The sequence below is a fragment of the Homo sapiens genome, chromosome 6 (genome assembly GCF_000001405.40).
Source record: "Homo sapiens chromosome 6, GRCh38.p14 Primary Assembly".
Classification (NCBI taxonomy): domain Eukaryota; kingdom Metazoa; phylum Chordata; class Mammalia; order Primates; family Hominidae; genus Homo; species Homo sapiens.
In genome coordinates, this window is record NC_000006.12 from 117,414,333 (window position 1) to 117,436,392 (window position 22,060).

The 22,060-nt window shown below is 35.9% G+C and overlaps 1 protein-coding gene and 1 pseudogene across 17 annotated transcripts in view; one reads left to right on the plus strand and one right to left on the minus strand.

The window, feature by feature from the left end:
* The window catches only part of ROS1 (ROS proto-oncogene 1, receptor tyrosine kinase), a 138,590-nt gene extending 126,980 nt beyond the window's left edge, over positions 1-11,610 (minus strand). For 13 of the 17 annotated variants that reach the window (XM_011536053.3, NM_001378902.1, XM_006715548.5 and 10 more), the window contains exons 1-4: positions 11,202-11,610; positions 4,130-4,174; positions 1,926-1,985; positions 187-213 (exon numbers count right to left, since the gene is read on the minus strand). In XM_011536053.3, the coding sequence (XP_011534355.1) occupies positions 187-213; positions 1,926-1,985; positions 4,130-4,174; positions 11,202-11,324 (255 nt within the window). In that variant the 5' untranslated portion in view covers positions 11,325-11,610. The remainder of the gene's footprint in view (positions 1-186; positions 214-1,925; positions 1,986-4,129; positions 4,175-11,201) is intronic. The other 4 variants (XM_017011173.2, XM_017011172.2, NM_002944.3 and 1 more) reach the window with 1 other exon arrangement.
* On the plus strand, positions 17,109-17,921 carry RAP1BP3 (RAP1B pseudogene 3; annotated as a pseudogene).
* The last annotated feature ends 4,139 nt before the right edge of the window (positions 17,922-22,060 follow it).

Genomic DNA, 22,060 nt, shown 5'->3' on the forward strand with positions numbered 1-22,060 from the left:
AGTAAATATTTGTGCCAAAATGGAATTTTACAGTCATCTGTATACTCAGAGTAATAACACTTTGAGGAAGAATGTCTCAGTGCACTGAGAATTTTAGGTTTCTTCACCCCTATTTTAAAAGCTTTTTAGAGACCAGAGATGAAGACATGTGGCTTGATTACATCTTTTTTGTGATTGCCAACTCACCTCACAAACGGTGGCATAAGTATCATTCTGCATAGAAAAAAAAAAAGACTACTTAAAATCTTGAAAGTTGTAAATAATTTTAGTGACACTGAGCTGTACAATCATTTCAAATTAATTTATTGCCCCACCATTGATAAACAACCAAAAAAACAACAGAAACAAGGGAGCCCAGAGCAGGACCCCCTGTCTAGGCAGGACACTGTATAAGCAGCTCTAAAAATTAAGCTGTTTGCATCACTGGAAAAATGGGAGAATATGATGTCCACCAGAAAAATCTCAGCAGGCTGAGGTAATCTGTGGTGGACCAAGTTAAGAGAGTGAAGGAGTATTTGCAAATGCCAAAGGTAAATAGAACAGGAAATGAAAACCACCAATAGCTCTTGCTAGCAAAGGACAGCAGATTCCTCTGCCCATGCTGGCCACTGCAGCAGCCACACAGCCTCCTGGATTGTTTCCCAGCAACAAATGGTGCTTCCCATTCATTCCTTCAGCAAATGTTGACTGAGCAGCTGCTATATGCCCTGCACTGTATTCAGTGCAAGAGATAACAATCTAAAAAAGACAGACAGCATCCTGCCCCAACACAGCTTACATGTTGGGATAAAAGATACTAAACACACAACTAGACAAATTATTTGTTTGAGTTGCAATTTCTGAGAAATATTTAATAGCCACTAAGTCCAGATAGCACATGCTGTACCTTTTGGTAACTTCCATTCTGTGAGGCACTCAGTCACAAATGTGAGAGTGGGCATAGGTAACTGCTATAATAGAACTTTGCAAGGACACACTATATAAGTAAAACTATGAATATACTCTAAAAACTATGTATATAAAAAGAGGTTAATGCATTATTTAAATCTCAATGTTATAATTTAACTCATTAATAGAAAATGACATTAGGATTCCCCAGCATTACCACAATTCTTATTGATTTAACCCCTGACCTGAACAACCTAAACAAGGGAACCCACTTTTAAAAGGCAAAATTCTTAATCATGTGATCAGAGTAGTTACAACACGACAGGCTCTATCTTTAGGAGAAAGATTCTGTTATTATCCTAAAATGGATGAAGAATGTAAAGTACCAAGGGGTTAAGTACCTTAAGTTACACACTGAGTGGCAAAAGCCAGGCTACATAATAAAATGAAAAATAAAGTATCTGGGGATGTATTTCCTACATAAAGGGGAGTAAACCAGGTGTTTACGGCCCTGAGTTAGACACCTACTATATTTCCTGCATAGAAACTTTGAACATGACCTACGGCCCTGGTATCCAAAATGTGGTCTGGGAACCACCAGCATTGCAACACCTGGGAGCTTGTTACAAGTGCAGAATCTCAGGCTCCACCCAAGACCTATTGAATCAGAATCAGCATTTTAATAAGATCCCGGATAATTGCACACTAAAATTTGAGACGCATAGGCCTAGGAAATTTAACAAATACCGGAGATTCTACTAAAAAACATTTATAGTTTTGGAGCGATTGAACATCCCTGGGTTCTGTTATTGGCAATAACCTTCCGTGACCTCTAGTCACATTAAAAATGTTAATCTCAATCTCTTTTCCATTACTATGTATTATCCAGGCTATTGGTTTTTTAGTTTTGTTTTGTTTTGTCTTAGGGTCAAGCAAACTAGTTGAAAGCCAATGGAAATGCAAATGGGAATCCTCTTACACAAATTTCCTCTTGAAAGAAACATCAGTATCAAAATAGAAATCTAATTAATACTTACACACTTTAAAGCACAGTTTTTCTGATCTACAGAGTTCCAAAAGTGACATCCTTGGATACACTGCAAGAGACAATAACAGACAATGGTGAGTGATTGAAGAAATGTGACTTTTTCTTGTCACCTGAAAGTACAATGTAGTAACAAAAGGCATCACTCTGTGTTTTAGAAATAGAAACCTACCAAGAAACCTGAGGCCTCCAAAAGATCCAGGATTTTGGGATTCCAAACAGAGCTGTCCTATCTACAGGTAGAACAAGTCTTGTGGCTCACTGCAGGGCAGCAGAGTTGCTGAGTGGAGTTAAGCCTGGCATGTGCAGGCCTAGAAGCCAGAGAACAGCCAACCTTCAGCGAAGACACCGTACACTGGGTAGTTGTCAAAGGTAAAGCCCAGGACAATGTGGCATTGGTATATCCTGGGTCCCTAAGGTGTCCTCACATATCAAGCAAAACTCAAAACTGGTGATTCAACTAGATGGTAGCATGTCAAACCTAAATAGGTAGACAGTTTGGGGAGTCGGCTGCCTACTAGCACCTTTCACCCCACAGCTGCCCTGAAAACCCTGAGTTGCCCTGACCTGCTATCAGACAGATTTGATATATTTCTTCTTACCTTACTTAATTCATCTGTACCTGTCTTGACCATTCCCTCCACAGGCCACGGTGGCACCTGGATTCCTTTTTCTTACTTCCTGCTCAGTCTCCTTTGCCATCTCTTTTTGCCTCTCTCCACCCCTTTGGTGTTTGTGTTCCATCTTCAGCTTTTTCTCCTCTCACTCTTCTAGTTCTCCCGGAGCGAGTTCATCCCCTACCTCAGCTTCAAGTAATCTGGATGTTGATATCCCCCAAACTTCTAACTGCAGCTGAGGCTCCATCCTGAGCTCCAGACCCAGATATCCACTGGCTCATTAGATGTCTCCATTTAAGTTCCTACAAGCACTTCAGATCCATCATGTGGAATTCAATTCCTTACTTTCCATCCTCAAATTTGCTCTTTCTCCTGTGTTTCCCATTAACGCGTTACATTCTCCTGAGTTGTCCAAGCCTGGAACCAGGGTGTTTTCTTCTCTCACCCCACTCTCCCCTCTCATGGAAAACCCATCACGAAGCCCTATTGACTTATCTGGTCATTAACTAAAATCCATCTGAGTTCATCACTCACTGCCTCAATTTTCTGTTTTGCCATTTACCACTTGCCAAAAACCTCAGGAAGGACCCCTCTTGTTCCCACATTTGGAGTGATCTTTTTAAAACAAAACCTGGTTACACTCTTATCTAAAACTCTGTATGTCTTTCCAACAACTTGTGAGTTAAGACCAACTTAGCAAGCATGGCAGACAAGGCCCTTCGTAATGTGGCTCCATGTAACTTGGCAATTGGTATGTAACTTGGCAATGGGTCTTCCACTTCCCTACCCTCTATACATGTACCCCAATTTCCAAGCAAGCTGAAATACTCAGTTTCCTTAACAACTTAGGCTACTTCACACCTTTGTGTCTTGACAAAAAGGGCCTTCTCTGATCGATAGGCTTTTTCCCCTCTAGTCCATCTGGAAAACTCTTCCTCTTTCTAGTTTTAGTTTGAAGGCCTTGCAGGCAAGTGAGGTGCCTTTTACTCTTGTGTATTCTCTTTTCACTCCTCACACACACCACAATTCTGGTTCTGATGATGCTGTCTGGCCATAATTTTATGCATATGTCTGTCTCTCTGGTTTTAAGTATGCATCTCAAAAAGGTTGAGAGTCCTTTTAAACAGAGACCCTATTTTTTTCATTGTTAAGTTTCTAGTTCCTGGCACAGTGCCTTGTGCATGCTTATACCTTAAGTCACTAAACACTTGTTAAACAAATGAATACATGTGCAGAACAGTAATAAAACCATAAAATGTCATTGTTAGAAGAAATATTGGAGACGATCTCAAATAACACATAATAAAACTAAATCTCAGAAAAATTAAGTAATTTGTCCAAAGCCACACAATTACATAGAGACAAAATCATGCACTTGGATTGGTCCTGTGCTATTTCCACTTCAACACACTTCATTTTTATATAAATTCAGACTTCTCATTATTTTCAATTTGTCTTCTTCCAGCAAGGATAAATGAGATTTTACTTAGCAATTCTTACTGTGATAAAATCTGATCATTGTCCCTTCATTATCAACACAAACATTGTAATATTCTTGACAACTGAAGAAATTACTTACCGGTTCACTCAGATTATGTGGTGTGCCAAGGTCAAGCTGCTGGCCCTGAAATGAAGAAGGAGGTAGTAAACACCAGCCATCAGTACTGGGTTCCGTGTAACTAACACACCTTTTAAAAAAGCTTCCTGAAATAACGTTGCCTCCTCCGCATTTTGTAACTCTAAAGTAAAGAGCCAAATGTTTTAGAGGCATTAAATTCATCACTACCAGACAAAATGCTGGTGCAAATTATAGATATAATGTCTTAAGAACTTTGCAGGTACTACAAAGGTGGAAGTAAGAATGTGGCTATAGGGAGAGAGTCTCATGCAGAATTAAATAATCCTGTGGCATTGGTCAGTTAATCAAGTCAAAGGACTCCTAGGTGAGTGATGAACTGTGTTCAGACTTTTCCTTTTTAAAATTAAGAGCAGGGAGAAAATGCAAATTGGTATGTAGTAAAACATAAGATTACTCTTTTATGGCTCACATACAAATTTTAAGAACTTTTTTATACTGGAGGAAAATAAAAGAAATAGGAACTAAGGACAGAGATCTATAAATTGCTCGTTATCTCTCTGGTCATAATTTGAATAGAGTCCTTCATAAACAAGACAGTTTACAAAGGATGGCAATCAGATAATCTGGGCCATCAGATAATCAGATAAGTACCCACATAGTGTTCTGTGCTTGCTAGAGAGAAGAGAGCAGCATTCTATCACTGAGCTCACTGAGCATGCTCCTGCTTTCTATCCATTTGGCTCTTCACTCCATCCTCAGCACCTGGAACACTGCCTGCTAGAAACAGGTGTTCAATAAATACTGATGTGCTAAAGGAGTAAATCCATTAATTCAAAGTGGTTTCCCATGTAAGGATGCTCCAAAAGTCCCTTGAAAACATTATCCAATGGCTTAATATTGTGTGGGTTGACTTGAAAAGTAATCAGACTCAAGAACCAAAGAACAAATGTTGCCTGTTTTTTTCTTTAATTTGAAGCATGAGTGAGGATTCCTTTAAACTCCGTTCCCTAACCGGTTATATTTGTAGGAAAAGAAGAAGGATGATTATTGGCTTTTGTTTTTAGATAATAAACATTTAGACAGTAAGAATTCTATCTGTTAGATGAATTTTGCAACCGAGTGCTTAATAGTACTGTGTTTTCATGATTTTGTTCAAAAGTTGGTTGAATCGCAAGCAAATAAAAATCAGGTGAGAGATAATGAGTTGAAAATTGAATCTTTTCCTACCCCTTCAAAAATGCATGTTAACTCATAAAAGCAAAAGGGTGGATGCTGGGTAGTCTTTGTGTTCCATTTTAAACAGTAGGAGAGCAGAGATATTTCTTGATGATCATAGTCACACTGTAACGGTAGTGAGTCCTGATGGCTCTTCTCAGGAGTAAATTTAACGGGCTGAGTGAAATGACCATCAAATGGTCTTGGGCAGGGTAGCCTCACAGTCAGGTCTAAGGGTTTCTAATGAGGCAGATTTTGTCAACACTCTTCCCTAATCTCCACTCATTCCCCATTCTTCTCCTCACAATTACAATAGCTAACATTTATTGAATTATTGCTATGTTTCAGGCACTCTTATAGGTGTTTTACACTAAATCTCATTGAATCATCTCAGCAACCCTATAAGGTAGCTGCTATAATTAACCTCATTTTACAGCTGGGGCACAGGGAAGTTTAGTAAATTACCTGGATTAGGATTTGAAGGGGGCAGAGTGATTGACTCCAGAACCTGTGCTCTTAACCGGATGCCTTCCATAATCTCCACCAAAATCACATTTTTCATTTTGAACATTAGGATCCCCGCTGGTTTGCCTTAGCTCCAACTACGCCAATTATCTGCTTCCAGTAGTCAAATTCAGTCCCAGATCTCAAACTTTCTTAACCTAATACCCACTTCTTGACATAAGCTTTTCTATTCTGCCCACCTCAGGCAGAACTAATCTCATTCTTTACTTCCTACCCTAATAAATGTTGTGGGGTGGGGGGAGGGGGGAGGGATAGCATTAGGAGATATACCTAATGCTAAATGACGAGTTAATGGGTGCAGCACACCAACATGGCACAAGTATACATATGTAACAAAACTGAACATTGTGCACATGTACCCTAAAACTTAAAGTATAATAATAATAAAATTTTAAATAATAATAATAATAATAATAATAAATGGAACAGAGCAGAATGATCTGTATTTTAATTCCACATGATATTTGCTCCCAATGTGATATTCTCAAAGTTACCTGTGCCATCTAAACTTAGTGGTCGTATCCGGGACATAAGTAGGATAATACTTAATTCATAAGCTTCTGTGAAGATTCAATTAAATGCAATAATTATTATAGTGCAGTGCAGGCACTTAGAAATGTATTAGTAGTATTATGTCCCAACTTGCTGTTAACAGCCTTTTGCATACATATCTTTGGTTAGTTAAACAATAATATCCTCAGATAAATTTGATGCATAAATTAGAGGTATATTTTCTCTTTCAATTTTGAGATTTAATAACGCATTCTTTTCTAGAAATTTATCCATTTACATCCAACCAACAATTCATGAAAATAGAAGTTTACCTGTACCTTTTCCCAACTATAAATGTTTTTATCTTTGCCAATTTGATAGAAGAAAAATTGATAATTTATTTTTATTCTGCAATTCTGTGGTTGCTGTGAGGTTGAATATCTATCACATGCTTTTTAGCCATTTTTATAATATATATTATATATTATATTGGAATATATGAATTGGAATACATATTATATTGGAATTATATATATTATATTGCAATATATATATATATAGGAAATATATATATATTTCCAATACCTTTTGGGGTACAAGTGGTTTTTGGTTACATGGATAAATTATATAGTGGTGAAGTCTGAGATCTTAGTGCACCTTTCACCCAAGTAGTATACATTGTACCCAACATGTAGTTTTTCATCCCTCACTCCTCTCCTTCCCTCCCCCTTCTGAGTCTCCAAAGTCCATTATACCACTCTGCATGCTTTTGTGTACCCATAGCTTAGCTACCACTTATAAGTGAGAACATACGGTATTTGGTTTTCTATTCCTGGCCAAATAATGGCCTCCATAGAATAATGGCCTCCAGCTCCATCCAAGTTGCTGCAAAGACATTATTTCATTCCTTTTTATGGCTGAGTAGTATTCCATGGTGTATATATATCACATTTTTTTATCCACTCATCAGTTGATGGACACTTATACTTCTTTTTTGAAGTGGCTGTTTATATTCTAAATTCATCTTACATGCTTTTATGTGTATCAGGGATTTTTTCTTTAAAAACATTATTTATCATGTGTAATACTTTTTTTCCACTTTTTGGCTTTGCAGTTATTGTATACTGTTGTCATAACAGTTTAAGTTTCTAAGTAGTCAAATTTATTGATAATTTCTTTTTAGGGAGTCTAAATTTTTTAATTAGGCTTCTTAAGGCATTTCTACTTCAAGATTACAGAAACAGTCACCCCAATTTCTTCTAATATTTTTATGAAGTAAACACTTGCTTTGTTTTGTTTATTTGTCTGTTTGCATTTAAGTAAACCTTTCTGTTTTTGTTTCTTAGAAACAGAGTCACCCAGGCTGGAGCACAGTGGTGTAATCACAGCTGACAGCATCCTCGACCTCCCTGCTCAATCAATCCTCCCACCTCAGCCTCCTAAGTAGCTGGGACTACAGGTGCATGCCACCACGCCTAGCTAATTTTTGTATTTGTTGTAGAGACAGGAGTCTCACCATGTTGCCCAGGCTGGTCTCAAACTCCTGGGCTGAAGGGAACTGTCCGCCTCAGCCTCCCATAGTGCTGGAATTACAGGCATGAGCCATCGCACTTAACCAAAAGTCATACCTTTTTACAAAATATATCCTGAAATTTATTTGAATCTGGCAGTTATGTAGGAATTTTTTATGCTACATGGATAGCAACTCATTGGTTTGAATTGTCATCTTTATCATATTTCACATTCTTTATGTACATGGTTTTATTTCTTGATTGTATTCTGTTTTACTCACAGGTTTATTCCTGTAGCAATAAAAACTATGCTAATTTGTAAATATTTTATAAAATTTCTGAATTATGATCTTATTATATTATTTTGTTTTAATGTTATATATTGATATACAAGACAATTTTTCATGTCTGTACATTAATTTTTTAAAAATCTTCCAAATCCTATTATTTCTAATAGTCTTTCAGTTGATTTTCAGTTTATTTCTTTGGAACTTAAGATACAAATCAAAAATAAATGTATTGTCATCACCCTCTAATATTATAAAAGCACATCATGTTTGTAACAGCCTTTAACTGTCTAGTGATAGAAACCTTGATATCTCAGTATTTGATAACTTACTTTAGGGCATTGATTACATAATTCACTTCTTTTGTATTCCGAATTGCATCCACCACAGAGCTGAATATACATAGATACCTAGGAAAATTTATTGAATGGAATCCATTCAATAAATTGATATTGAATGAAATTTATTGAATGGAATTGATACTCCTGAGCCCTTCTCAATATTAGTTCCTCAGTTGTTGTGATTTGTTAATTCAAAAAAAAAAGGGGGTTTGTGATGTAATTCAGGAATGGAAAACCAAACATCGTATGTTCTCACTGATAAGTGGGAGCAAAACTATGAGAATGCAAAGGCATAAAAATGATACAATGGGCTTTGGGGACTTAGGGGAAAGAGTGGGAGCAGGGTGAGGGATAAAAGACTACAAATATGGTGTAGTGTATACATGGCTGATGGGTGCACCAAAATCTCACAGATCACCACTAAAGAATTTACTCATGTAACCAAATAGCACCTGTTCCCCCAATAACTTATGGAAACATTAAAAAAGGGTTTTGTTGCTAAAGATGGGAAAATTATGATTAAACAAAGCTTTTAACATGTTATTGTGCCCTGTGAATCTACAAAAAGAGGGCATAGCAAAATACACTTCCACAAATGATTCAACCGTGAATTCTTTTTTCTTTATCATAAAGGATCTCACAATACTAGAGTTCTGAAGAGCATTAATTGTTTGTTGTTTTCTGCAGCACATGGCTTCTAGAATTCAAAAAAACTTTTCAGTTAATACTTTCAACTAGTACATGCAGATCTCTGTTAACGTAAGATAAAAGTAATGTAAAATACCAATGCTCAAGCATAGAACTCTGCTTCGTGCAATTTGGCCCACAATTCTAACATTTTATTTTTGGACAAGACATTCTTGTGGTGACTTTTTTTTTTTAAGAAAACATTTCTCAATATCAAGAATCACCCAATAAAATTATAGATGACCTTCAGAGTAAATGTCCATGTTTTTAAAAATGATGCAGAAAATATAATAAACTTGAGCACTTTGTATATCCTCTCCTGTGAACCATGGTTACATTCAATTGTACATTCACTTCACTTTTGTCCCTCCAGGCCCTATGTGGGAACATGTAGTACTTTCACTGGTCAAATTGGCAGACCGTGTCTCTCTTGCTGTTGCCACACATCAGCTGTGCCATTCTCTGTAGGTGGTGAACGGAAGGCAACTCAACAAAGGAACAAACTGTCTATTCCTACTGCCAAACCCTGGAAGCAAGGAGCCCACACAAAAAGATAAGAATAAATAAAACGACAGTAAAATAAAATGGAGACTGCAATATTGGAAACAACTAAAATCAGTTTCAGTAGCAGGGAAATTAACAAATAAATTATGGTGGTACATTCATATAATGGAATACTCTAAAGATAATAAAGATTCTGTTTCTAAAAAAATCTCAGGGTCTAGGGGAAAACTCACAATACAATGTAATGAAAAAGCTGGTTGCATAGCTGGGTGTAAATTATAGATATATATGTATACATATATATATATGAGGAAAAATACTAAAAGAAAATTCAATCAAAAGATTACTAGGGCTAGAATTAGAAGTTTTTTATTCTTCTGTAGTTCTCTATGTTATAAATATTTTATTTAAAATGTATACTCTTATTATAATTAGAAAAAAGTTAAAATCTTTTTTAGAACATTTAGTTTTCCATTCAGTAGTTGAAACATTTAGTAGTTCCATTCTTCCATTTTTAAGTTTGGGTTACAAATATAAAAAACTAAAGCATGCAATTCTATATTAAAGGCAATGAAGTCTTCGGCAAAGATTTATATAAAATACTAAACTTTTAAAAAAATGCTACTAACCATGGTAAACCTAAGTAGTGTTTTAAACTACAGTTTAAATCAAAAGTGTATAAGTGCAAGTTTCTTTTTAATCTGCCACATAATTCTATCTCCAATACTTTAGAATAATATAATGAATACTATATTTAGTACTTGCATTATGTTTAAAAGTATGGCTATAGATAGGGTCATATGCAAACTATCATGATATTTTATTTGTCTTTAGACAGGAAGAGTGCATTTTCTCTGTCTATAGAGTACTTGGTTTTTAAAGTTAATTCAGTGACTGTTTTAAGCACAACTAAATTACAACTGAAAAGAGATGGTACAATAGTTAGAGAAGGGATGACACCCAGAAATGAGAATGAAAGCATGAATTTCCATATAAAAAACTCACTAACTAAAATAATAAATGCACAAACAGAAATAAAGAAATGTACAAATAATTATTGCTTTAAAATATTATTTTACATGGCAACTGTATCTGCTTCCTTTTTCATCCAGCTCCCTACACAGCTGGAATTAGCAGGCATTATCCTGTGGCCAAACCGATTTCAGGTTTCAAGACAACTACTAATGACTTTGTAATAAATAAGTTTAAATAGAAAGTTTTTAAGTGTGCAAAATTGGCAAAATTGATTCCATTTAAACCTCCTTTACCCAGTCCTCTAGCCCAAAAAATATATGACCACATACCCTAAAGAAATAAAATAGCCTGCTTTATCTTCTGCAATTATAAGGGCTCCTAACTTATTTAAGAAAAAATAATCTATCTTGCCTTGTTGCCACCACTTCTCATAAGAAAACTCCTCATAAAGAGAAAACAATTCTATCAGTTATAACAAGCTGAATGCTACATGTTCTAGTTCCTGCAAAGACAAATATTAGATTGTGAGACTTACCAGATTAGTTACACACGACTTTAGGCAGCTATTTAAAACTGTACACTGCACCACAGAAATCCATAGGCAGCCAAGAGTTGCAAAATTGACAAGCTTCGGAATAAGACAGTAAATGTTCTTCATCACTTCACCAATGGCAGATTTTTAGATGGCCGGTCTAATTTTCTCCATTTTGCTATATGAATTATTTGGGCTTCATCACTTCAATTGGAGGAGTAGCTGATGGATTTTGCTTTGTTTGTTTTGCTATATTAGGATATACTTGCCTTTTGAAATAATACTTAGCCTTTTTCATTTAGACCTTTGAATGCTTGAAAGCTTGTAACAGTTCCATAAGAGCTATTTCATAACAGCTTCCTTTTACTCCCATAAAGTCACCCAGTGACTAAAGGTTAGTTCTTAGAAGTGCACTTCACATGGAAATTAAAGAAAACGAATTGTATTTCAGCAAGGGTGTGACACATGCAGTCTGAAACTGGAACATTTCAGTGGGTCGTCCACCACCTTACTTCTCTGAGCTCTTTTCAGCTCTGCAGGGAATTGGGTTTTGACCACGTATGCTTTAGCAAACAGTAGCACTATTATAATAAAGAATTATTGGAAAAATAGAGGCACCCAAATCAAGCAATGCAACTGAGAGAGAAAACAGAACTCAGAAGCCAAATACATATTTTTAAATTTAAGAGCAAACAAAGCTGAAATTAATAGACAAATACCCTGGGAGAGAGTTAAAAACAAGGAAGTTGGTTAGAGTACTCTCAGAACTTTACTACATATTAACTAAAATACTGACTTATCAGGTCTATCGAGACAGCTGAAACTAGTTACCAGAAACCTAAGATATGTTCAAGTGTCTGCTTTGAGAAGGAAACATTGTACAAGCTTCCTTCCTGCCTGCCTTCCTTCCTCTCTCTCTCTCTCTCTCTTTCTTTGAGACTGAATTTCTGTCTGTCGCCCAGGCTACAGTGCAGTGGCATGATCCCAGCTCACTGCAACCTCCGCCTCCCAGGTTCAAGCGATTCTCCTGCCTCAGCCTCCCGAGTAGCTGAGACTACAGACGCCCGCCACCATGCCCAGCTAATTTTTGTATTTTTAGTAGAGATGGGGTTTCACCATGTTGCCCAGAGTGGTCTCGATCTCTTGACCTCGTGATCCGCCCACCTCGGCCTCCAAAAGTGCTAGGATTACAGGCGTGAGCCACCGCGGTACAACAGGCCAACCTCCTTGTTTTCTTAAATAAATTATACTAAATGTAACTTAACCTTTTCTTAATGATATAAGGTTCTCCCTATGAGTAACACATGCATGAGGTTTTGTTTTGAGCTGAACGTCTTTTGATTGGATTTTTGTTTGTTTGTTTTTTAATTTTTGTGGGTACATAGTAGGTGTATGTATTTATGGGGTACAGGAGATGTTTTGAAACAGACATGCCATGTGAAATGAGCACATCATGAAGAATGGGGTGTCCATCCCCTCAAGCATTTATCCACTGAGTTGCAAACAATCCAAGTATGTTCTAAGTCATTTTAATATGTACAGTTATTATTGACTGTAGTCACCCTGTTGTGCTATCAAATAGTAGGTCTTATTTATTCTTTCTACATTTTTTGTACCCATTAACTGTCCCCATCTCCCATCCCCCACCCCACCCACCACCACCCTTCCCAGCCTCTGGCAACCATCCTTATACTCTCTTTGTCCATGAATTCAATTGTTTTGATTTCTAGATCCCATAAATAAGTGAAAACATGCAATGCTTGCCTTTCTGTGCCTAGCTCAATTCACTTAACGTAATAATCTCCAGTTCCATCCATGTTGTTGGACGTGACTGAATATGGCTGAATAGTTCTCCATTGTGTATATGTACCACATTTTCTTTACCCATTCATCTGTTGATGCATACTTAGGTTGCTTCCAAATCTTAGCTATTGTAAACAGTGCTGCAATAAACATTCACATGCAGATATTTCTTTGATATACTGATTTTCTTTCTTTTAGGCATATACCCAGCAGTAGAATTCTAGATCATATGGTAGCTCAATTTTTAGTTTTTTGAGGAACTTCCAAACTGTTCTCCATAGTGGTTGTATTGATTTACATTCTCATCAAAAATATACAAGGGTTTCCTTTTCTCCACATTGCCACCAGCATTTGTTATAGCCTGTCTTTTGGACATAAGCCATTTTAACTGGGTAAGATGATATCCCATTGTAGTTTTGATTTGCATTTTTCTGATGATTAATGATGTTAAACACCTTTTCATATGCCTGTTTGTCATTCGTATGTCTTTTGAGAAATGTCTATTCAAATCTTTTGCCCATCCTTTGATTGGATTATTTGATTTTTTTTCTATAGAGTTGTTTGAGCTTTTTATTTATTCTGGTTATTAATCCCTTGTCTGATGGGTAGTTTGCAAATATTTTCTCCCATTCTGTGGGTTTTCTCTTAACTTTGTTAATTGTATCCTTTGCTGTAAAGAAGATTTTTAACTTGATGTGATCTCGTTTGTCCATTTTTGCTTTGGTTGCCTGTGCTTGTTGGGTATTGCTCAAGAAATTTTTACCCCAACCAATGTCCTGGAGATTTCCCCAATGTTTTTTGTAGTAGTTTCATGGTTTGAGGTCTTAGATTTAAGTCTTTAGTCCATTTTGATTTGAATTTTGTATATGGAGAGAGATAGGGGTCTAGTTTTATTCCTTTATATATGTATATCCAGTTTTCCCCACACCATTTATTGAAGAGACTGTCTTTTCCCCAGTGTATGTTCTTGGCATCTTTGTCAAAAATGAGTTTACTGTAGGTGTGTGGATTTCTTTCTGGATTCCCTAGTCTGTTTCACTGATCTGTGTGTCTATTTTTATGCCAGTAGCATGCTGTTTTGGTTACTATAGCTCTGTAGTATAATTTGAAGTCAGGTAATGTAATTCCTCCAGTTTTGTTCTTTTGCTTAGGATAGCTTTGGCTATTCTTGGTCTCTTGTGGTTCAATATAAATCTTAGGATTGTTTTTTTCTATTTCTGTGAAGAATGTCATTGGTATTTTTATAGGGATTGCATTGAATCTGTAGATTGCTTTGGGGAGTATGGACATTTTAACAATATTGACTTTTCCAATTAATGAACATGGAATGTTTTTCCATTTTTTGTGTGTCCTAATCAATGTCTTTAATCAGTGTTTTATAGTTTTCATTACAGAGATCTTTCACTTCTTTGGTTAATTCCTAGATACTTAATTTTATTTGTAGCTATTGTAAATGGAATTACTTTCTTGATTTCTTTTTCAGATTGTTCACTCTTGACATACAGAAATGCTACTACTGAATTACTAAATTTGTTTATCAGTTCTGCTAGTTTTCCTGTGGAGTCTCCAGGTTTCTCAGCATGTGAGATATGTCATCTGCAAACAAGGATGATTTGACTTCCTCCTTTACAATTTGGATGCCCTTAATATCTTTCTCTTGTCTGATTGCTCTAGCTGGGATGTCCAGTACTGTGTTGAATAACAGTGGTGAAGTGGGCATCTTTGTCATGTTCCAGACCTTAGAGGAAAGGCTTTCAGTTTTTCCCCATTCAGTATAATACTAGCTGTGGGTAGGTTATATATGGCTTTTATTATGTTCAGGTATGTTCCTTCTATCCCCAGTTTTTTTTTTTAGGGTTTTTATCATAAAAGGATGTTGAATTTTACCAAATGCTTTTTCAGCATCAATTAAAATGATCATATGCTTTTGATCCTTCATTCTTTTGATATGATGTAGCACACTGATTGATTTGTATATGTTGAATCATCCTTCCATCCCAGGGATAAATCCCACTTGGTCATGATGAATGATCTTTCTAATGTATTGTTGAATTCAATTTGCTAGTATTTAGTTGTGGACTTTTGCATCAATATGTATCAAAGATTGGCCTGTAGTTTTCTTTTTTGGTGTGTCTTTATCTGGTTTCAGTATCAGGGAAGTACTGGCCTCATAGAATGAGTTTGGAAGTATTCCCTCCTTCTCTGTTTTTCAGAATAAGTTGAGTAGGATTCGTATTAGTTTTTCTTTAAATATTTGCTAGAATTCAGCAGTGAAGCTATTAGGTCTCAGGCTTTTCTTTACTGGGAGACTTTTATTACAGCTTCAATCTCATTACTTGTTATTGGTCTGCTCAGGTTTTGGATTTCTTCCTGGTTCAATTTTGGCAGGTTATATGTATCTAGGAACTTGTCCATTGCTTCTATATGTTTCCATTTATTAGCATATAGTTGCTCAGAGTAGCCACTAATGATCCTTTGAATACTGCAGATATCAGTTGTAATGTCTCCTTTTTCATTTCTGATTTTATTTATTTTGATCTTCTTTCTTTTTTTCTTAAACTGGCTAAAGGTTTGTCCATTTTGTTTAACTTTTCAAAAAAATAAAACTTTGTTTCTTTTTTTTTGTTTTTTCCATTTTGTCCTGCTCTGATCTTTATTATTTCTTTTCTTCTACTAATTCTGGGTTTGGTTTGCTCTTGCTTTTCTAGTTCTTTAAAATGCATCATTAGATTGTCATTTGAAGTTTTTCCTTTTTTTTTGATGTAGATACTTAGAGCTATAAAATTCTATCTTACTATTGCTTTTGCTGTATCCCATAGATTTTGGTATATTGTGTTTTCATTATCATTTGTTTCAAGAAATTTTTCAATTTCCTTCTTAATTTCTTCATTGGCTCACTGATCGTTCAGGAGCATATTGTTTAAATTCTATGTATTTGAATAGTTTCCAAAATTTCTCTTGTTATTAATTTCTAGTTTTATTTTTGTCAGAGAAGATGCTTGATATTATCTCAGTTTTTTTAATGTTTTAAGGTTCGTTTTGTGACCTAACATCTGGCCTATCCTTAAGAACGATTCATGTGCTGAGGAAAATAATGTGTATTCTGGCTGGGTGTGGTGGCTCATGCCTGTAATCCCAGCACTTTGGGAGCCTGAGGTGGGTGGATCACGAGGTCAGGAGATCGAGACCATCCCGGCTAACATGGTGAAACCCCGTCTCTACTAAAAATACAAAAACTTAGCTGGACATGGTGGTGGGTGACTGTAGTCCCAGCTACTCGGGAGGCTGAGGCAGGAGAATGGTGTGAACCCGGGAGGCGGAGCTTGCAGTGAGCTGAGACTCTGTCTCAAAAAAAAAAAAAAAAAAAAAAAAAAGTGTATTCTGCAGCCCTTGGATGAAATGTTCTGTAAATATCTATTAGATCCATTTGATCTATATTGCAGATTAAGTCTGATGTTTCTTTGTTGATTTTCTGTCTGAATGATCTGTCCAATGCTGAAAGTGAGGTGTGGAAGTCTCCAGCTATTATTGTGTTAGAGTCTCTCTCTCTCCTTAGCTCTAATAATATTTCTTTTATATATGTGGGTGCTCCAGTGTTGGGTGAATATATATTTAAAATTGTTGTATCCTCTTGCTGAGCCAACCCCCCTTATCATTACATAGTGACCTACTTCTCTTCTTATTGCTTTTGTCTTGAATTCTATTTTGTCTGATGTAAGTATAGCTACTCCTGCTCTTGGCATGGAATATTTTTTTACAATCCTTTATTTTCCATCTCTGTGTATCTTTATAGGTGAAGTGTGTTTCTTGTAGGCAGAAGATCAACTGTTTTTTTTTTCATCCATTCAGCCAGTCTATGTCTTTTGATTGGAGAGTTTAGCCCATTGACATTTAAGGTTATTATGGACAAGTAAGGACTTACACCTGTCATTTTGTTCTTTTCATATTGTTTTTTGGTCTTCTTTCTTTCATTCTTGTCTTCCTCTAGTGAAGATTATTTTCTCTGGTGATATGATTTAGTTTCTTGCTTTTTTTTTTGTGCATTCATTGTATGTTTTTTAATGTGAAGTTACCATGACACGTGCAAATATGATTTTAAAACTCATTATTCAGGCATATAAACCAGCCAGAGTGGCAGTAGCAGAGGCAAGACCACCATAGCACCAGGAGTAGCAACTCAGAGAAAGCACAGAGCAACACTGACTGCAGTGACCTGGTGACAGCATGAGAGGTACTAGGTTTTAAAAAATTTGTATCATGCTTGAGTATAAATTAGTCATTCTTGGCTCAGGAGCTGTTGGAAATTCTGCTTTGACTGTACAATTTGTACAAAGAATTTTGTTGAAAAACATGGTCCTACAATAAAAGATATTACAGAAAGCAAGTGGAAATAGATGCACAACTCTGTATGCTTGACATATTGGATACTGCAGGAACAGAACAATTTACAGCAATAAAGGGTTTGTACATAAAAAATGGACAAGGCTTTGTATTAGCATATACCATCCCAGCACAGTCCACATTTTATGATTTACAAGATCTGAGAGAACAGATTCTTTAAGTTAAAGACACTGATATTGTCCCAGTGATTGTTGGTAATAAGTGTGACTTGGAAGATAAAAGAGTTGTAGGGAAGGAACAAGGTCAAAATCTAGCAAGACAATGGAACAACTGTGCATTCTTAGAATCTTCTGCAAAATAAAAAATAAATCTTAATAAGGCCAGGCATGGTGGCTTATGCCCGTAATCTCAGCATTTTGGGAGGCCGAGGAGGGTGGATCACCTGAGGTCAGGAGTTTGAGACCAGCCAGGCCAACATGATGAAACCCTGTTTCTACTAAAAATACAAAATTAGCCAGGCGTGGTGGCACATGCCTGTAATCCTAGCTACTCTGGAGGCTGAGGCAGGAGAATCACTTGAACCCAGGAGGCAGAGGTTGCAGTGAGCTGAGATCACGCCATTGTTTTCCAGCCTGGGCAAAAAGAGTGAAACTCTGTCTCAAAAAAAAAAAAAGTTAATGAGACTTTTATGACCTAGTGTGGCAATTAACAGAAAAAACTCCAGTGCCTGGGAAGGCTTGCAAAAAGTCATCATGTCAGCTGCTTTAATATACTAAATGCACTGTAGCTCTGAGCCAGGTCTGAAGAATGTTGCCCAATTCAACAGTGCCTGAGCAATTCCAACTTTGTTAAACCTACCAAAGGCTTAAGTGGACTCTCCTGTGGTGATACCCTTTAAGAGAGAGATGAAAGATACCATATCAGTTTGCACATTCTAATAACTTTCCAGTATCACAAGAGAGATTTTTACTTATCTAATAGTCCTAGAGTATGCAGCTGGTAAAACCAGAGGCTACATCCAGTATTACTGCTAAGAGACATTCTTCATCCACCAATGTTGTACATGTATGAAAATGGTGTACTGTATACTTGAACAAGCCCCATGCTTTGTATTGGAGAGTACAATAATGCAAATTGTAAAAGCACCACTATTTCAACATAATAAAAGAAAGTCCAAAGAGATCCTATACAGACTACTCCAGATACTTTTGTTTTGTTGGTATTTGTAGCTTATCATAATTTTTTTAAAAAAATTCAAGATCATTATCATTGTACAAAATATGCATTTTGATTAACACAGCTATATAGTTTTTTAAATTTTTTAAAGAGAAACTATGAAGCAGTGATCTTGTCTTTAAAATATAATAGTCCTTTCAGTATAATATCTTATTTTGAAGATGTTGCCTTTAATATCTGTTGGGAAAGAAATGTCCAGACTTTTCAAATCTCTTATTATATTTTTCCTTTTTCATTTAAATAGGAAAAATGTTTATAGTTGTGTGTACAGTAAGAGTCTACAACAAGAAGTGGATATTTTCAAACAATTTTTTTTTTTTTTTTTTGAGACAGAGTCTCACTCTGTCGCCCAGGCTGAAGTGCAATAGTACGATCTCGGCTCACCACAACCTCCGCCTCCAGGGTTCAAGCAATTCTCCTGCCTCAGCCTCCCGAGTAGCTGGGATTACAGGCATGTGCCACCACACCCGGCTAATTTTGTATTTTTAGTAGAGACGGGGTTTCTCCATTTTGTCCAGGCTGATCTCGAACTCCCAACCTCAGGTGATCCGCCCACCTTGGCCTCCCAAAGTGCTGGGATTACAGTCGTGAGCCACTGCGCCTGGCCAGCTTACACATTTTTATGCATGACCATGCAAGATAAAGATTGCCTGTATAGTAAGCCAACATTGGGGTAGAGGGTCATAGTTTACACGCAACTGGTGGTCTCCTCAAGGGAGAAAGGAAAAGATTTACTGACTACCTAGTCATTATGGTTGAATTTTGTACCATGAGCATTAGAGATTCAAAAATAAATTGAAAAATAACAATTTTTAAAATATTCTGCACTATGATTTGAAACATAAGACTTAAAAAGCCTCCTAATTTATCTCAAGTTAGAATAAGATATTCTAAATAAATCACAAAAGTTCAGACCAAGCAAGCTCCTCTGAAGTGTCTGAACAAAATTTTAGGTGAAAGTATTAAAATGTTGTCCTAACAAACAAGACTGAAACTTCTGCACAATCCCTTATAATAAATCAAATTTTCCATAGGATCAATTCTACAATTAAGAGATTACATTCTGAAACAATGGCCTTTTTCATAAACTGCATCAGTGAGGTAGCTTTGTGAAAGAGCAAATTGTTAAAATGGTTCCCATCATCTAATTCTAATCTTGCTTCCTTGGGATGAGCACTACAACTGGTTAGCAACAGAATCGATTTTATGTCATCAGATACATTATGAATTCTGAAATTATATGCATTGAAAATATAAAGTGTATATCCTCAGACTCAGTTGTATGCAAGAAATATCATATGACCCAAGGGAAGTTAGATTGTATAGTCATAAAAAAGAGCCCCGAATATGGACCCACTGACTTTTTACCATTAAAAAGGTAAAAAGTCTAGAGAGGAGCCATGTCAACATTCAAGAACTAAGAATTTTACATGCAAGAAAATTCTTACTCAAGCACACACTTCTGCCATCATTTCTCTCTTTTTTTAATTGACACAATCTATAGGGTACATAGTGATGTTTCTTACACATAATGTGTAGTGATCAGATCAGGGTAATTAACATATTCATCATCTCAAACATTTATCATTTCTTTGTGTTGGAACATTCAAAATCCTCCTTCTAGCTATTTGAAACTATGTAATATATTGTTGCTAACTATAGTCATCTTACAATGGTATAGAATACTAGAACTTATTCCTCCTATCTAGCTGTAATTTAGTATTCTTTAACAAATCTCTCTCTACCCCTCTGTTCTCCGTACCCTTCCCACTCTCTCATATCTTTCTTTCTTTCTACTTTTTACTTCTATTACATCAACTTTTTTTAACTCACTTCCACATTTAAGTGAGAACATACAGTGTGTAGCTTTCTATTCCTGACTTATTTTACTTAACCTAATGTCCTCTAATTCCATCCATGTTGCTGCAAATGACAGAATTTCATTCTTTTTATGGTGGAATAGTACTCCATTGTGTATATATGCCACATTTACTTTACCTATTTATCTGTTGTTGGATACCTAGGTTGATTTCATATCTTGGCTATTGTGAATAGTGCTGCAATAAACATGTGGGTGAAGATGTCTCTTTAATATACTGATGATCTTCCTTTGGATAAATGCCCAATAGTGAGATTGCTGGATCATATGGTAGTAGTTCCATTTATAGTTTTTTTTTAAGAACCTCCAAGCTGTTTTCCATGGTGACTTTACTAGTTTACGTTCCCACCAATTGTATATAAGAGTTCTCTTCTCTCCACATCCTCGCCAGCCATTGTTATTTTTTGTCTTTTTGATAATAGGCATCCTACCCGGAGTGACATGATATCTCAATGTGGTTTTTATTTGCATTTCCCTAATGATTAATGATATTGAGCATTTTTTCATATATTTGTTGGCCATTTGTATGTCTTCTGTGAAATGTCTTCTCAGATCATTTGCCCATTTTCTAAATCAAATTGTTTGATTTTTTGCTGTGGAGATGTTTGAGTTTCTTGTATATTCTGAATATTAATTCCCTATCAGATGAATAGTCTGCAAATGTTTTCTCCCACTCTGTAGGTTATTTTTCACTTGCTGATTGTTTTCTTTGCTGTGCAGAAAGTTTTTAGTTTGATATAACCCCATTTGTTTGCTTTTGTTGCTTATGCTTTTGGGCTCTTATTCATAGAGTGTTTTTTTAAAACCAATGTCCTGAAGTATTTCTCCTACATTTTATTTTAGTAATTTTATAGTTTGGGGTCTTACATTTAGGTCTTTGATTCATTTTGAGTTGATTTTTGTGTAGAGTGAGAGGTGTATGTCTAGTTTTATTCTTCTACATATGAATATCTAGTTTTCATACATATATGTATGTACTTTCATACGTATAGGTATGTACTTTCATACATATATGAAGTAATTTTGGGGATCTCTATTTTGTTCCACTGGCCTATGTGTCTGTTTTTATGCCAGTACAATGCTGTTTTGGTTACTAGAGCTTTGTAGTATATTTTGAAGTCTGGTGGTGTGAGGCCTTCAGCTTTGTTCTTTTTGCTTAGGATTTCCTTAGCTATTAGGGGTTCTTTTGTGGTTCCATACAAGTTTTAGGTTTGTTTTTCCTAATTTCTATAAAAAATGACTGATATTTTGATATGGATTGTATTGAATGCAGATTGCTTTGGATAGTATGGTCATTTTAACAATATGCTTCCAATCCATGAGCGTGGGATGTCTTTTTATTTGTGTATCTTCTTCAATTTCTTTCATCAGTGTTTTGTAGTTTTCCTTGTAAAGGTATTTCACCTCATTGGTTAAATTTGTTGCTAGGTATTCTTTTGTAGCTATTGTAAATGAGATTGCCTTCTTGATTTCCTTTTCAGCTAGTTCTTTGTTAATGTATAGAAATGTTACCAATTTTTGTATATTGATTTTGTATCCTGCCACTTTACCAAATGTGTTTATCTGTTCCAAGAGTTTTGTGGTAGTGTTTAGGTTTTACTAT